General features: G+C 44.8%; 1 annotated feature.

Moving 5' to 3' along the window:
- Positions 5,630-5,689: a silencer, noted in NCBI's record as "silent region_11898". NCBI's record gives its function as "represses an Ori minimal core promoter by ATAC-STARR-seq in GM12878 lymphoblastoid cells {active_cell/tissue: GM12878}" and the evidence as "EXISTENCE:reporter gene assay evidence [ECO:0000049][PMID:35858748]".

Here is a 17,598-nt window from a genome sequence, read left to right as displayed (position 1 = left end):
AGACAGAGAGTGACATCTAACTCTGAGCCAATCTGTGCCCTGCTGCTTAATTCAAATGTCTAGACTGAGGAATTTCTGTTTCCCCAAAGGAAACAGAAATTCTAAGTGATGGTATTCCAGATATTCCTCACTGAACAGGGATTATTTAGAAGAGTGGTTCTCAAAATTTGGTGGGTCTCAGGACCATGGATTGAAATCAGCTTGCTAAAAAATATGAGTGCCTGTGCCCCAGTCCTAGAGATGCTGACTCAGTAGGTCTGGGTTGGGCCTGGGCAACTGTGTTTTTAAAAAGCCTCCCAGGTGGGCCAGATGCTCATGAAATTCTGTGCATCACTGATTAAGGAGACTGCATCTTTCTATCTCCAGGGTCGCTGCTGATACAGTTGCTTAAGAGGTGAGGTGCACCCATGGGCCTGGTGCAAGGCTAGAGAGCCCTTTGATGAAACGATAACATCCTTGTCTTCAATTGGTCATAAATATGAAAGACACACTTTATGGATGTTAGTGAAGGTGCTGGTTTCAGAAGTAAAGGCACCAGAAATGCTTCAGAGATTTTACCAGAAAATCGTCTGCCAACTTCCTCGTGGTACCTAGAATGCTTAAGGGACTGACTCCAATGGTGCAACGGTGTCTACCTGCTTCTGCCACAGAGGTTTTGGTAATGGCCTCTTCTGACAATAGAGGAAAATTGTCCTTTGAATTGATAACCCTACTTGGGAGGCTTATACTGAGAAAAAAAAAAAAAGCATTGGAAACATGGGACAAGTCTGATGCATGATGATTGTTGGAGTGGTATTCCCTACAACAACAGACAAACCAACAACCTAAGTGTCAAACAATTGGGGAAGGCATCATTACACCAAGGATCATTTCTCATTTTGATAGCCATCAATAATGAGCAGTTGTTACAACCTTAAAAATGCTTATGATATGGACACAGAAAGGGGTACATCACACACCGGGGCCTGTTGTAGGGTGGGGGAAGGGGGGAGGGATAGCATTAGGAGATACACCTAATGTTAAGTGACGAGTTAATGGGTGCAGCACACCAACATGGCACATGTATACATATGTAACTAACCTGCACGTTGTGCACATGTACCCTAAAACTTAAAGTATAATAATAAAAAAAATGCTTATGATAAAATGTCAAACAAAAAACAGTTTGTGGTTTCAGAAAAATTAGGTGTGACTATAGTAACATCTAACATGTAACACAGAAATATGGGAACAGTTTTTTGGAATGGTGGCAAAATTTAGGATGAATTATTTCCTCTTTAATTTGTGGTATTGTTATTACAATATTATTTGCATAGTTTTAAAAAGAAGAGAGTGATAAAGAAAACTTCTCATCGTAGGACCCTGAGGGTAACCAGAATGGCATCAAATTCTCCAATAATCTCTGGAGCCCAGAGGTCTCTGACTCTCTCCAAGGAGTTCAAGCAGAAGCTGACTGACCCTTGGTCAGAGGCAGACAGAGGTTATGATTGAGCTGGATGGGAGTTGCCTCTGTTCGGCTCTGCAATTCTATAATATTAAGAAACATGTTTGGCTACATCAGGGTTTCTCAACCTTGGCACTATGGACATTTTGGATCAGATAACTCTTTGTGGTAGGAGGATGTCCTGTGCATTTTAGGATGTTTAGCAGCATCTTTGACATCTACTTACTAAATGCCAACAGGCACCCTCCCCAGTTGGGACAATCAAAAATGCTTCAGACTTTGTCAAATGTCCTTTGAGGGACAAAGTTGGCCCCAGTTGAGAGCCGTTGGATTAGATCAAACAAAAGACAAGTGAAGAGCTTGCTTACTGTACCAGACGTGTGAGGTATTTGGCCTTAACAAAAACATCCTTAAAGTGCTTTGGTTTAAGGAAATGCATGAAGCTAATTTGCATTCACCATCAGCCAGAAGAATAACTTATCTTCAGAATCCCTAGTCCTTCCTTCAAAATCTCCTTGTATTTTTCTCCTGTGAACGATGAACATTCCCCCACCCCATCCAAGGAGTACAGTAGCTTCTTTTCCTACTGCCATTCAAATATAACATCAAGAAAAGAACTGACAGAGAACTTAAACACTGGTGCAAAAGCAATATGGTGTGAGAAATTGAACGGGGACCCAAGCATCCTGGGTTCTAGTCCTGCTTTTGTCAGAATCAACCCCGCAGCCTTGGGCAAGTCAGTTAATCATTCTGGGCCTCCATTATCTTCTCTACAAAGGTGGGTTATTTGATCAGATGATCTTTCTGCACTCATTCTCACTAAAGGGTAAATGACTAACACAGTAAGTTGTGTTGGCCTTCCAAGAGGTGGTTGCACATTTATTGGAAGTGATGCTTTCACTAGGCTAAGAAACAACTCAGCTTGAATGCCAGACTGATGATTATACATGTGTGGATAATGAGAAAGTACAGATGTTTCTGGAACATACATCCAGCTATAGAATTTCAGACTCTTACAGCTGGAGGGTATGTTAGTGATGACCTTGTCCTACCCTCTCATTTTACAAAAGAGAGACAGACAAAGAAGGAGTCAAAGAGAGAGAAAGAGAGAGATAGAAGTAGTAAAGAAAAAACAGTGTACCCTATTCCTTTAAAAGCCAGGGTAAATTTCTGTCTACCCAGCCAAGGCATATTCTTCTTATGTGGAACTTCAACCTATATCTGCCTCTCAGGCAGTTTGCAAGAAATAACAAAATCTATCCTTCCTCTGCAATCCCAAATAGACTCTTTGGCAGCAGTGACTCTCCAAAATCACCGAGGCCTAGATCTCCTTACTGCTGAGAAGGGACGACTCTGCACCTTCTTAGGGGAAGAGTGATGTTTTTACACTAACCAGTCAGGGATAGTAAGAGATGCTGCCCGGCGTTTACAGGAAAAGGCTTCTGAAATCAGACAACGCCTTTCAAACTCTTATACCAACCTCTGGAGTTGGGCGACATGGCTTCTCTGCTTTCTAGGTACCGTGACAGCCAGCTTACTATTACTCACCTTCGGGCCCTGCATTTTTAACCTCCTTGTAAAATTTGTTTCCTCTAGGATTGAGGCCATCAAACTACAGATGATCTTACAAATGGAGCCCCAAATGAGCTCAACTAACAATTTCTAGTGAGGATCCTTGGACCGACCCGCTGGCCCTTACACTGGCCTAAAGAGTTCCCCTCTGGAGGACACTACAACTGCAGGGCCCCTTCTTCACCCCTATCCAGCAGGAAGTAGCTAGAGCAGTCATCTCCCAATTCCCAACAGCAGTTGGGGTGTCCTGTTTAGAGGGGAGATTGAGAGATGAAGCCAGCTGGACTTCCTGGGTCTAGTGGGGACTTGGAGAACTTTTGTGTCAAGCTAAAGGATTGTAAATGCACCAATCAGAACTCTGCAAATATGCATCAATCAGCGCTCTGTGTCTAACTAAAGGATTGTAAAATGGACCAATCAGCACTCTGTAAAATGGACCAATCATCAGAAGGTGGGCAGGGACAAATAAGGGAATAAAAGCTGGCCACCCCAGCCAGCAGCAGCAACCTGCTGGGATCCCCTTCTATGCTGTGGAAGCTTAGTTCTTTCCTTCTTCACAATAAATCTTGCTACTGCTCAGTCTTTGGGTTTGCACCACTTTTAAGAGCTATAACACTCGCCATAAAGGTCCGCGACTTCATTCTTCAAGTCAGCCAGACCAAGAACTCACTGGAAGGAACCAACTCCGGACACAAAAGGAGATCCTGAGGCCTAGAGAGGGGAGGTGACTTGCCCACTTCTTGCTGCCCAGTGGCATAAGCAACATGGTGTTTTAAACCCTGGGAACTTGAAGACATAGGGACAGTTGCTTTGGGGGAACCATACACATTGCTCAGCTCTGCACACTTTCAGGGTCAGCTATCTGAAACCACTTAGCATACTCACTCGAGTCTCCTGAATTTGGTGGCATGAAAGAATTTATTTCTTGATGCATTTCTACAAACAAGGTCCTCGATAAGCAGGACAAATACAAAAAGAAAGTCAAAAATAGATGTTGAAAAATGAAAGAAAACTATCAGACAAACAAGAGACGAAAACCACACAGGATTTTAAATGGGAAAGTTAAGAATTATTAACTAATAACAGGGGAGTATCAGGGTATTGGCTACTGAGGGTAAAGGGAGCACTTTACAGAGGTGGCAGATATATGGGGCAGGCACTAAAGGCTAAGCGAAGTGCCCGAGGAGAAAACAAATGTGGGACACCCCACCCGCTTCCCCTCTCACCACCAAGGATGAGAATCAGACTTTGCGGGAGAGCATGGGGCTGTCCCCACTGGAGAATGAAGTTTGCCCAGGTGACAGGTGGAGACTGTCCAACAGGAAACTGCCCCCGGGGGTGACAGCAACCCTTTCCGGGAAGCTGCCTGGAGGAAACGCTGCTGAACTTTCTGAAAAATCGGCTGGGGGACTGGTGGGACGGCGAAGCCCTCAAGGGGTGCTTTTGAACTCACTGGAAGCTGGGCGAGGTGCCAGCAGAACTCGCTAGAAAGCTGCACACAGGGGATGCCACTGCAAGTCCTTGAGGGAGGCTGCAACTGGGTGTCCCGAACCCCGCGGGAGCAAGAAGGAATCAGAGCACAGAGACACCAGCAGAGAAGCCCTTCCCCCTGCAGTGTGCCTCTACCACCCTCTACTGGCAAAGCTGAGCATCGTGCCAGTTGCAAAAGAGACGTGTTGGCAAGATTCACCTCCAGTATCACAAGCAATGCAATGAAGTATGGGTTGGGAGAAGTGAGGCAATAAAGTGATAAGTGACACACTCATAACCTGGAACACAACTATTGAGGTAGTGTGCCCCTTTGGTCCTAGGCATTGCCCCCAAAGTCTCAGCCTTTCAAGTTTTCTCACTCTCTTTCTACCCCCAGGTCTTCCCTTATGGCTACACCGGATGATGTTCATGAATGTCATGGAAGCTGAAAACAGTCCCGCTTGGGTCTCAGAAGCTGAGGGTATTAGACAGGAAGGGTCACTTAGCCAGGCTGACCTCGTGTCCAGGTTTGCACCTGCTGTCCCAACCACTGTCCTGTTAGTGCTCCCTCCCACTCTCCCAAGTGTCCTGCTCAGGTGATAAATTACATGGTTCCCTGAAGGCAACCAGCCTGAGTCCAGTCCCATGACTTTACAGATGAGGAAACTCCTACACTGATGTCGAAGAAGAGGCTCTGTGGGGACGTGGGGAGGACTGGACTTGGCTTTAATGTGCAACTTTGGCTTGTTGTTAAGCCTCTATCTAAAATGGTCCACCAAGAGGTAAAATGAGGTCATGTGTGCAGAGCATCAGGCATACATCGTGACCTGAGGGATGGGATGCGCCAACCTCTGCCATGTAGCTCTTCCATCTGCCCACCTCCCCAATCCCTATCCATATTCCCCAGTCTGTCTTCCAGACAGAAACAACAGGGCACATTTATAACAGTGGAGCAAAATACCCCTTCAGAATAGACACTGCTAACAGAAAAGTTCCAGGGTGCAAATCTCAATGTTTGGAAAGGAGGATCAGAGCTGTAAACGCCCAGGGATTGCTAAGCAAGAAGAGGATATTGAGCACTCTCTCCAGTTCATGCCTCTGTCTCCTCAAAGTCCCTCTTCCTGATGGCTACCAGAGGCTTAGAGAAAGCAACCAGGAGCAAACGCCTCTCTCTGGGTAGGCCGGTCCAGCTCAGGTGCACCTATTCCATGGCAAAAAAACAGCCCACGATCTCCACCTGGTGGCCAAGCTATAGAACACACTCCCTCGCCAACTGCTGATCAACCTGTTGAGCAGCTACCCTGCGGCCATTTACAAAAGAAACACAGGCTGGGACCTTCTCTACAGGTGACCTGATGGTGGCTGCTCCTGGAGGCTGATTGGAAGCACGTGTCTGTCTCAGGCCACACTTTGACATGGCACGAGAGACTTCTCTGCCACGCTTGCTGCCCTGGATCCAGAACAGGTTACTCCAGGGTTTCTCAGCCTCAGTACTCTGAACATTTGGGGCTGGATATTTCTTTGTTGGGGGTGGGGTGAGGCCATCCTGTGCATTGCATGATGTTTAGCAGCATCTCTGGCCTCTACTTACGAGATGCCTGTAACAACCCGCTTAGTTAGGGCAACCAAAAATGTCTCCAGATGTTGCCAAAGTCCTATGCAGGAGAGGCAAGACACAAAATCGCCCTCAGTTGAGAATCACTAGGCTACTTAACCAGTCAAGCCTTCGGCACTTATAACGATAGAGACTGATTTTGGACTTGGGTTCCACACAGCATTCTGCAAGCCATTGCAGTTTCCAGTGAGCTGCTTTCTTGGACGCCAGTTAGAACCTGTCATCAGTAGCTCATGGTTTAGGTTTTGAGGAAGGTCTCCTTTTTCTCTGCTTCCAGCATGCTAATTTTGTTTTTTTGAACAAGCTAATGGCATCTCAAGGAAAGGGACCATGTCTTTTCCTTTCCTTGGGCTGCTTTCAGAGACAAGCATGGTGCTTGGAACTTAGGTGCTCAGCATGTAGGTGCTCCAAAGCGCCTGCAGGTTCACAAAGTCAGTCCCCTTCCACGGACCGCAGTGTCTCTCAAAATTATGACTGCCCTGCCTGGAAACCTCCTTGGCCTCTTTTCCTTGGAACCATAGCTAATGAAGAGATCCATCTCATCTCCACCTACATCTCCCGCTGGTGGGCAATCTAATTAGGTTCTTTCTACAATTAACTATTCGTAATTAAAGAGGAGCAAAGCCCATGTGTCATTCTTTAACTCCATCCGTTAAACAACAATGTCCAATTTTGAAATCCCTCTTCAGACAAGGAGAAGTGGTGCATGTGTGGGCTAAGAATTCTCCAGATATGCTAACCTAAATTTAATTATGCAAGGAGAACAGAGGTTTCACTTCATTGTTCCTGGAAGTACTGTAATTAAAACTCAATTAGGGGTGGCACTGGCCAGCATCATTACTCGAGAGTCACCCTGTTGAAGAGACAAACAGCTCAGTGTGCTCATGCAGACATCATCCTGAAGCCTTTGCAAGTAAAGGGGTCATCCAGATCATCCTCTGTCTTCCAGCATCTTCTAAAAGCACCATTTGTTTAACTGATTTCTCTTCATTTTTAACTGTTTAAAACTGTTCTAGCCAAGCTTCCAGGTCAAAAGACGAAACAGCCATTCAGATATCTTGTCTAATCATAGTTCATCAAGTACTTATGATGGGATGGGTGCTTCACACACAGTGTCTTATTTGATCTTTACATTAACCGTAGGAAGTAGGCATCATCCTTATGTAAAGATAGAGGAATAAAGTCTCAAAGAAGTTAAAGAATATTCCATTGGCATCAGTGGAAAGCGGTGGTGCCAGGATTTAAATGGACAAGTCTGCTACTAGAGTCTGTACTCTTAAACATTGTGTTATATTGGCGTTTTGAAAAAGTTTTCCAAATATCTGATATTTGACATCAGAGAGAGACTTCCTCTGTCTGGTTTTGACTGTAAACCCAACACACACATACCAAATACAGGGGATCCTGAATTCTTCTTGCACACATTGCGTTAGCAAGAAGGCTGATGAGCTGGAAGGCTTTGTGTGGGTCCAGTCAATGCACCACTGCCAGAGAAACACATTCGAGGCCCAGTCCACAACTGTAGTGGGGCTGTCTGCACAGATCACCCACACCAGCAGACAATCTGTATGGCTCCTTCTCAGGAGATCCACCAAGAGTGCCTGCCAATGAGTGAGGCATCTTACCTGGGGCCACCACTTGCAGTTGGCAAATTGTGTCCTTCTCAGGGGCACCTACCAAGGGGTGAGTGTACCTGAGTGTCAGCTTGCACTGCACCCCAGGCAAATAAATGGCAACTCTTCTACTTTTCTTTTCTTTTTTTTTTTCCTTGAGACGGAGTCTCACTCTTGTTGCCCAGGCTGGAGTGCAATAGTGTGATCTTGACTGACTGCAACAACGGCCTTCCAGGCTCAAGCGATTCTTCTGCCTCATCCTCCCAAATAGCTGGGATTACAGGCACCCACCACCACGCCCAGCTAATCTTTGTATTTTTATTAGAGACAGCATTTCACCATGTTGGCCAGGCTCGTCTCAACCTCCTGACCTCAGGAGATCCACCTACCTTGGCCTCCCAAAGTGCTGGGATTAAAGGTATGAGCCACTGTGCCTAGCCCCTCTTCTGCTTTTCAAAGGTGCCAGTGGGCTACCAGTGACTTGACCCTACTGGCTTTAGAGTGCTCAGTCTCACAGTCCACTGGACATGCTGCCTCTTGCTTTTACCACACAGAATACAGAGTAAATTAGAACCCTCTGAAGGCAAGCCTCTGGGTCCGTTCCAGAACAAGGGGCAACAAATATGAGGACCTGGAGGGAAGGGCCATATCCCTCCCTTTCCCCTTTCCTGAGGACCTAAGGCCCTCTTTACCTGTGTCTGCTCTGTCCCATTACTTCATTTTTTTTTCCTCCCCTACCACCCTCTGGATGCCACTTCTCTACAGACAAACAGATTGTGCAACAGGAAACTCTCAAGGCATCAAGGTCCCAGAATGAGGACAGGAAGAGTTTGGTGTTGAGATCATTGCTTCTTCCAATACAGAGAACCATGGTCTGACATTTCAGAAAGCTCCAGGTGCAGCTGAGCTGTCAGGGAAGGGTGGAGCATGAGGGGTGGCTCACTGAAGGAGTGATGGAACTGGCACCTGAGGCCAGCCTCAGCCTCTTCCATTTCATAATCCACTGGATGAGTCACTGCCCACAGTTGACCTCTGAGAGCCCAAAACAAACGAGGAGTATGCTGGCACCCAGAGAGAGGGATACTCAGCTTCTTTGGACACCTGGTTGGTAACAGAGCTGAGAGCAGTGCCTGAGCTGACTGCTCCTCTCTATAGCCAACAGCATGGGCTTCCTGCTCCTGCTCTAGCAAAGGGAATGGGATTTCTTTAGGATGAGCCTGGCTGGATTTCCTGCCAAGGCATCTACAGTGGCAATGGGGTTGAAAAGCTAGGAGGGGCCAGCCTTGGTGGTGTGGTTTGCTGTGCAGATGGAGCCACCCTGAGTTCAAGAAACCCAGCAGGATGAGGACAGTGAGCACAGGCTCTGTGTTGGCCACATACTGGGTTAGAGGATAGCTGAATTGTTGGGTCATCCATCCATCATTCATTCATTCCTTCACTTAAAACTCACCTACTTCCAAAAGATATTTACGGCAGCTTAAAATACATCTAATATTGAAGGTTAAATGAAAGATAACATGACACAACCACTTTAGAAAACTGTCTGAAAGTTTCTAACAAATGTAAACACACACCTATCCTTTGGCTCAGCAGTTTCATCCCTAGGTCTTTACCCGAGAGAAATGAATCTATATATGCCCACAAAAGACTTCAAAATATTTGTAGCAGCTTTATTCATCATACCACCAAATTAGAGATGTCCTTGTGTCAGTCAAAGGAGAATGAATAAACAAACTATAGTACATTCATACGATAAATTTCTATTCAGTAATTAAAGGGGACAAATTTCCAAATATGTACAACCACATGGATGAATCTTACAGAAATTATGCTGAGTGAAAGAAGCCAGATGCAAAAGTGTATGTTCAGTTATCCCTTGGCATCCTGGGGGAATTGGTTCCAGGATCCCAGTGGACGCTAAACTCCATGAATGCTCAAGTCCCTTATGTAAAATGGCATAGTATTTGCATATAACCTACGCACATCCTCCCGTGTGCTTTAAATCATCTCTAGATTATGTATAATACCTAAAACAATATAAATGCTATGCAAATAATTATTATGTATTTTTATTTATATAGTTTTTATTGCTGTATTGTTATTTTTTATTGTTTTCTTCTTCAAATATTTTTGATCCACAGTTGGTTGACTCCATGAATGTGGAACCCATGGACAGAGAGGGTTGACTGTATTTATGAGTCCACTTATGTGATGGTCAAGAAGCAGCAAAAGGAATCGATGGAAACAGCATTCAAAATGGTGGCCACCTTAGCATGATGGGGAGCAGGAAGGGAGTGAGTGAGAGGAGCCTGTGGGACTTTCTGGGAAGATGGAGATGTTGAATATCTTGATTTGGGTGGGAATCACACAGGAGTATACATTTGTCAAAACTCCTCAAAATGTACGCTTAAAATCTGTGCATTTCAGTCTCTATAGAATATACATAAAACAAAGCAGAACAAGTAGAAACAACAGCAAACACCTCTATGATTTTCTTATAAAACAGGGAGGCAGTCTAGAGCCAGATGGGCTGGATTCGAACACCTTTCCAGCTCCTACCAGTCAACCGAAAAGTCAACCCAAGGGCTGGTTAATCCAAGTAACATCACCAAGCCTTTGTAGATAACTTCATGGTTTACAAACCCCATTCCAGCTCTTACCCCGTTACAGCTCTTACCAGCTCTTACCAGTGCCCACAGTCACACCTAGTGGATGGTAAACTCTGTTTAAAAGAAATATTAACCATTCAGGAAATGGGGCCTTTACTTGGAGACCATAAATTAAGGGTCTCCAAGATGGGGCTTTAGGAAAGGGCTCATGAACCTCTTGAAAGTAGTTGCAAATTCACTGTGCATAATGTGCGTTTGTGTTGGGAGAGGGTGTATAGCTTTCAATCAGACTCTAATATGATTGCTCCAGGACTCCAGAATGAGATGATTCATACAGATGAACATCAAAGTTAAACCCCAAGGCTCCTGTTTTTCTTTTCCCTAGAAGTGAGTTCCAAACACCAGCTTACCCACAGGGGAGGGAATTACACAGTGCGTGGGTCCCAGGAGGTGGGAATCCCAGGAGCCACCTCAGGGTCTGCTCTCACAGGAGGGGATGAGTAAGTCGCAAATGTGGGTTTCTTGTGATTTAACAAAAAACAAGGGTGAGGATTGAGTTTTCATAGCTTTGTAAGGGAATGATGCCTATCTGAGTGGACTACTGGACCACAGACATAGCGGGCAGGTGGCAGGGCTGGGTCAGGGGAGATGGAGGTAAGAGAAATCCCTGAGCTTGCAGAGAAGCTGTGCTTCAGATGATCGGGGAGGGAGGAAAGGGACTTGGGAGGCAGGACAAACTATGGAGTGGGAACTCCCCACCCCCGCCACCACCACCATTTCCCCTTCTCTATCATCTCCTCCGTCCTCACTTCTTGGTTTCTTGCACCAGGAGAAAGCTCTTGGTGTCTCTTTTTGAGGTCCTAGCAGTTGTTTCTACTCAGAACATGAAGAATGGTGGCGGAGCCTGGCCTAGCCCCGTGGTGGGGTAAAGTTGACAAATGGGTTGTTCATGGGCAGCGGAGCAGGATGGAAGTCAGATTTAAAGTCTGGATCCACGGTGGTCCAGGGGACCTCAATAAAGGGTTTTTCCTTCAATGTGCCTCAACTCATTGCCTATAAAATGAGGGTAAAAATCTCTCCTTCACGTAGTGTGTTAAGGTCTAAACTATACGGGGCATGGCATGTAGCACTTAGTAGGGCTCTGCATACAGTAGGCACTACAGTAAATCTCCCACAGCTACTATGGGCCCACTGGTGATTCTGATCATTTTACCTACTGTTGTCTGGCCAGTTAAGTGAATGTTACTTGGGTTTATGAATTCATTCAGCAAATAATCCTTGAGTTGCTACTAAGTGCTAGTGCTGTGCTGGGGCCCTGGGACACAGCAGAGAATAAGATGGACACACAGTCATGTCCTTCTGGGGTCCAGCCCTCTCTGAGCCACTGGTGTCTGCTGGGTCACAGCAGCCCCTGCTTCTGTGCCAAGGACTCCTCAGACAGAGACTCTGGCTCTCCCCTTCCCTTCTCAGATTGATTGACATTTGGGGACTGGGAAGGGGTGGGACAGGGCTGGGGTGTGGGGAGGGCTGACAAGCATGGCAGATTCATGAGTCCTGGCTGAGAGTGCCTTTGACGAAGGTGCCGGAGGTAATAGCCTTGTTATCTGATTCCCAGTGATTCATTACTGCTGGCATTGACAGCTACCTTGGCGTCCTCCTTGGTCCTGCCTGGGGCTCAGAGCCACAGTACACCCTGAAGCCCAATGGGAAAAGCCACCACCTGCCTTTGGGCCAGGAAAGCAAGCACAGTTTTAGAGGCCTCTGTGTGGGGAGTTTTTCCTGGTCACAGCTTTGAGCCATGGCGATGATCTGGCCTGAGATGGAGCTGATGAAGTCCAACCAGAAGTTGGCAGCAGTGATGTCTGAGGAGCAGTTGGAGGGTTGGTGGGTGTCTGGGGGACCCTTTAGTCCCAGCTCACCCTTGCCACTCTTAAACAGCAGCAACAACAATGAGCATTAATATAATAAAGTGCATGACCCCTCAGCCAAAACTCTGCAAGCCAGAAGCATTTGAAAATTCAGAATTTTAGGGTTTTGACGAAAGTAAGATAGTATAAAAACTGAATGGTTCCTGACATCCCCAAGGGATCTTGAGCAGCAGCCCATAACCAAGCAAACAGGATGGATGAGTGTTCAAACCAAGCCAGAGAGATAAAGATGATAAATGGTTTCGCACCCATTTAGGAAAGGTTTTACCACCAAACAGGTTGGGCAAAAACATGATTTTCTGAGCCTTTTGCATCCATGATCATAAATAAGAGATTGTAGTAAAGAAATAAGTACAGTAACAGTTATAGCACTAATAATATTGTTTCAGCTCTACAATATTTTCTCAATCTTATTCAAGTGGGAATAAAAATACCTCTAGGAAACTGCATTTTTATCTATCTATACATAACATGCAGTTTAAGTAAAAACAGCATTTTGTTAGACCTCAGCCCCTTATTGCCACCCCAATTTCCTCAGTGTGAGAATTCTGGAGCTGTCCCTGCAGACATGGTTGCCCAGGGAAGGCCTGAGTGAGGAGATGCCTGGAAGGACTGTCAAAGTCCAGAGTCCTACTTCACGGAGAAGTTGCCCCTGAGGCAGGCAAGGGCTATCTGCAGCCTTGGTGCAGCCCCTCTGGAGTGAAAGGCCAGGATCTGAGACTGGGAAAGAAGGCGCTGTCTCCCTTCTTTCTGCGTGGCTGAGGGTTGCTCCTTCCTGGCTTTAAGCTTGGGGTGTGGGGGAGGGGCTACACAGACACAGAGTTAGGTGGAAGGGGCCTGAAGGGGGTCTCTTGGCTTTGGCTGGATGGGTAAACTCCATGTCCCTCTACCTAAGTCCTTTCCTTTATCCTTGAGCCATGGATATGGGAACTACGAGGGGAAGGCAGAGTCCATGCTGTGGCCAGAACCTCAAAGGACAGCCGGTGTCCTGGAGGCATCAATACTGACCTTAGGTCAGGGGAAGACACCAGGGGAGGCAGTTGGTATCATAGGTGCATTTCAATCACTGGGGATGCAGTCCAGGGACTGACTTTTTAATTGAGTTACCAAAGCACATTTGCACACTGAAGTCCAGAACATGCGATCAAAGAGAAGAGCATCTCAGAGACACAGGAAGTGGAAAATGGCAGGCTCAGCCTCCTCAGCTCTGCACGGATTTTCTCTGTCATCGCCAACCTTGGAAGATCAGCACTGCCTTAGCAAGGATTATGACTTCACAAGCAGACACTACGTTCACACAACTATTGCATTGTATCATTCATATGGCCCTCCCAATAAGGTGTCATTATCCCCAATTCATAGATGCACTCAGAGAGCAGTTAACCGGTGATGAAGCTGAGATTCAAACCTGGGTCTGCTGAGTCTGAAGTTCATACTCTCTCTGTGCTGGGGGGCTTGGCTACTGGACTTGCTACCTTCTGTTGCTGTTTGTAACACAGAAACCACAGGAGCAATGTTGAATGTTAACAGTGCTTATACTGTATCCAAGAGAACAAGGGATTTTAGGATACAACCAAAAACACCCTAGGAACCTGATCCTCCCCTAGCCTTCCCTCCTGTTTTGAAAAGTCGACCCAAGGGCTGGTTAATCCAAGTAACATCACCAAGCCTTTGTAGATAACTTCATGGTTACAAAGCCCTTCTCCATACTGTGCCTCATTTTGATACTCTGAATGAAAAGGCAAGATCTATAAGGAGGCCTTTATAGCTCTATTTTATGAATTTTGGAACAGAGGCTCACTGAGAAACACGCCTCTCACAGCTAGCAGGCAGACAGCAAGGACCCAGTGCCAGATTCCTTTATGATATGTGTGGTGCTCCAACAGTCCCCCCATTCTACTTCAAACTTTCTTCCAAGGTTTTCTGACATGGTCAGCCTCTATCCAATTCAGGGAACGTTTACCATTTTGGGTTCCAAGAACCTGAAGATTTATATTGCCGTAATTGGTTTATATTGTCATAAATAGCTCTGAGAATTAATTTCAGGAAGTTGACATCAAAGGACCCACCTAAGATGAGTGATATTTCCTGACTCCAAGGGACAAGGAAACACCCACTGGGGGATTGTGCCTTCATCAAACAAACTTCAATTCCAATCTTTTTTTTAAAAAATCTTAATGGGAAAAAAATAGCTCATGTGAAGTCCAGAATCCGGGCGCTTTCCCATATGTTTATATCTGCTTACCAATTGGTGGATTCATTTATGGCCTTATTTATTAGCTTTTTTACTTCAATTGAACCTCCCTGCTGCAAAATATTAAGGGGCACACGTATTGACTTAAATACACGGAAAGGAATAGCTTCTGTGCATGTTCTCACTCGCCAAACGGAGGCAAGCCTCAGCTGGGGACAGGGTGCATTTTATAACCTACCAAAGAGTTAAGATCTGTTTGAAAAATACTGGCCTAGGAGTTCCCAATGTATATGCATACATTTTGACCTACCATTTTCATTTTTAGAAATTTTAGTCCCCTAAATAATGATTGTGTATTGAGAACTGTGTGCAAAGATACCCACTATAATAATAGATATAATCAGAAAAAAAGATAGCTATCTTAATGCCTGACAATTACTTAAATAAATGATTGTACATTTATGCAGTAATATAATAGATTTCCTTTAAAATTATAGATTTCCATATACCTAATGCTAAATGACGAGTTAATGGGTGCAGCACACCAACATGGCACATGTATACATATGTAACAAACATGCACATTGTGCACATGTACCCTAAAACTTAAAGTATAATAATAATAAAATTTTTTTAAAAAAGAGTTCTACATGTATTAGAAATACTAGTCCTTTATAAGTGATATATTTAGAAACATTTTCTCCCAGTTGGACATTTGCTTTTTAACTTATCTTGTTTTCTTTATAATGAAAAATGTTAGATGCATAGATTGCAAAAATTTTCTCAAAAAAATTATAGATTTCCTTTAAAGTATTTGATGATAGATATACTGAATGAATAGAATAGGTTATGTACCAGTATTCTTTATTTTTCAGCAAATATTTGTTTCCAGGCATGACAGTGAACTAGACAGACATGGACTCTGTCTTCACATGGCTTTCAGTTGAAGAGGACACAGAAAATAAATGGAATTACAGACAGAGTGATTGCATTCAGTGCTGGAAGAGGTGAAGAAAGAAGTGCTAGGGGAACAACGAAAGGGGGGGCCCAGGTCAGACTTGACCTGCACTTGCTGTTCAGGTTGAGGCCGAGCTTACACAGCAGTGACTTCTTCACTGGGACATGAGGACATTCAAGAGCTCAGCAGAGGCAGGTTTGGGGCTGGGATGAAGGTAGGGAAGAGGCCTCGTGTGAAGGCAGCTGTGTGACCACAAGTCCCAGGAGGCTCTTGAAAAGTTTCATGCTAAAGAGTGGCCTGGTCAGGTTCACACTTTAGAAGGGCTCCTCTCTAGTGTGGAGAATGGACTGTGGGGGTTCATGCTAAGAAGCAAAAAGTCAGACACATTGAGGCAATTCAGAGACGATGGTAAACTAATACAGAGGAGCTGGAAAGAAGTAGGTTGATCCAAGAGATATTTAGAGAGCATTGACTAGGGCTCATTGATTGGATATGGGTGGTAGGGAGAGGAAGGAGGTCGATATTAAGTGCTAACCAGCTTTCTGGCTTGGCCACCAGGATTAAGAGTGATTCTCTCAGGAGACAGAGAACACAGGGAGGGAAACTTTGCTGGAGGAGGAGGAAGAGGTGTTGGGTTCCACTAGGGTTCATTCATTTAGAGTTCTCCATTGGGGACACTTAGGAGGCAGGTGGAGATGAAAGTTTGTAGCTCAGGAGAGAGATCAAAACTGGCAGTAGAGATTCAGGAGTGACTCATCATCAACTGGGCACAAGAAAAGGCAAAACTGTACCGAAAGAAATTAAATCAGAGGTTGTGAGGGGCTGAGGGAAGGGGAAAGTGATTGCAAAGAAGCACAAAGGAATTTTGGGATGGGATGGAACAGTTCTCTATCTTGATGATCATCATGCTTAGACACTGAATACATTTGTCAAAAATTATAAAGTTAAAATTGGTTGATTTCTTATATATAAATTATACCTTAATTAAGCTGCTTTTTTTTTCAAAACAAAGAAGAAAGAAAATCCAATGCCTATCATAATCTAGAGATTCAGCTCCTAGGTTTATACTCAACATACAGGAGCACACATGTGCACCAAAACACATATTCACTGAAGTTCATAGCAGCCTTATTTATAATGGCCCCAACCTGGAAACAACCAAAATGTCCATCAATAGTAAAATGAATTGTGGCGGATCATACAATGTGTCATCACATATTCATCATTTTACTATTGAAAAAGCAAACTCTAGCTACATAAAGCTCCCAGATGAATCTCAGGCAGAATGTTGAGCTAAAGAAGCCATATGCAAAAGAGTACACATGATAAAGCTTCCATTTACGGGAACTTCAGATACAAGCAAAACTAATCTGCATGATGGAAATCAGACTAATGGCTACCTCTGCAGGGAGACATGACCAGGAAGGGCATGAGAGAGCTTTCTGGAGGCTGGAAATGTTAAATATGCAGATCTAGGTGGCAATAATACAGGTGTACATATACGGAAAAGTTTCATAAGCTGGACACTTCAGATCTGTAAAATTTTATTGAATGTAAGTTTTACCTCAATAAGAAAATGATCTAAGACATATCTGTAAGATTAAGTCCGTATTCATTTCAATTCCTTGAATTTAGATTTGACGGACATATAGACAAGGTGAGTTGGGGTTTCTATCTGCTCTCTATGAAAACAAGGAAATTAGTAGCATATACAATGGCCATGCTGAGCCTCCTTATGAGTGAAGAGTTGTTGGAGAATTGTCTTGACAGTTTGGAAAATTACAATCTGTGCAATCACATGTATTTCACATTGAATGTGCTAATTATAAGCATTTCTTATCTGTTCACCAGGTCAGATTTCCCAGCCACTGCCACCAGGGCCCCTGGAGTCTCAAGAAGACTTAATTGCCATCTCCCAGTGTCCTTGACTGAGGACCTGTTTAAAAGTGCTTTAGCAAATGTTTGAGCTGCAGGAGGAGTGCCGAGCTGTTCATTTTGCAGTGCTCAGAGGGTGAGGACCCCTTCTGCTGCTGTCCTGTTACCCTGGTTCACTGGTGGATGTGCAAGCTTGCTGTAGCCAGAAGCCCTCGTTACATTATGGTCTTCATGTTTAGGAAAAGCATTATTGAAAGCAGAAGATTGTGAGCCCCAGCTCCCCTAGAGCCTGGAAAGGAAGGGGAATTCAGAGTCACAGT

The sequence above is a fragment of the Homo sapiens genome, chromosome 2, assembly GCF_000001405.40.
Source record: "Homo sapiens chromosome 2, GRCh38.p14 Primary Assembly".
In the NCBI taxonomy this organism is placed as follows: domain Eukaryota; kingdom Metazoa; phylum Chordata; class Mammalia; order Primates; family Hominidae; genus Homo; species Homo sapiens.
The sequence above is the reverse complement of the archived record's forward strand: the minus strand, read 5'-3'. Positions and strand labels throughout refer to the sequence as shown.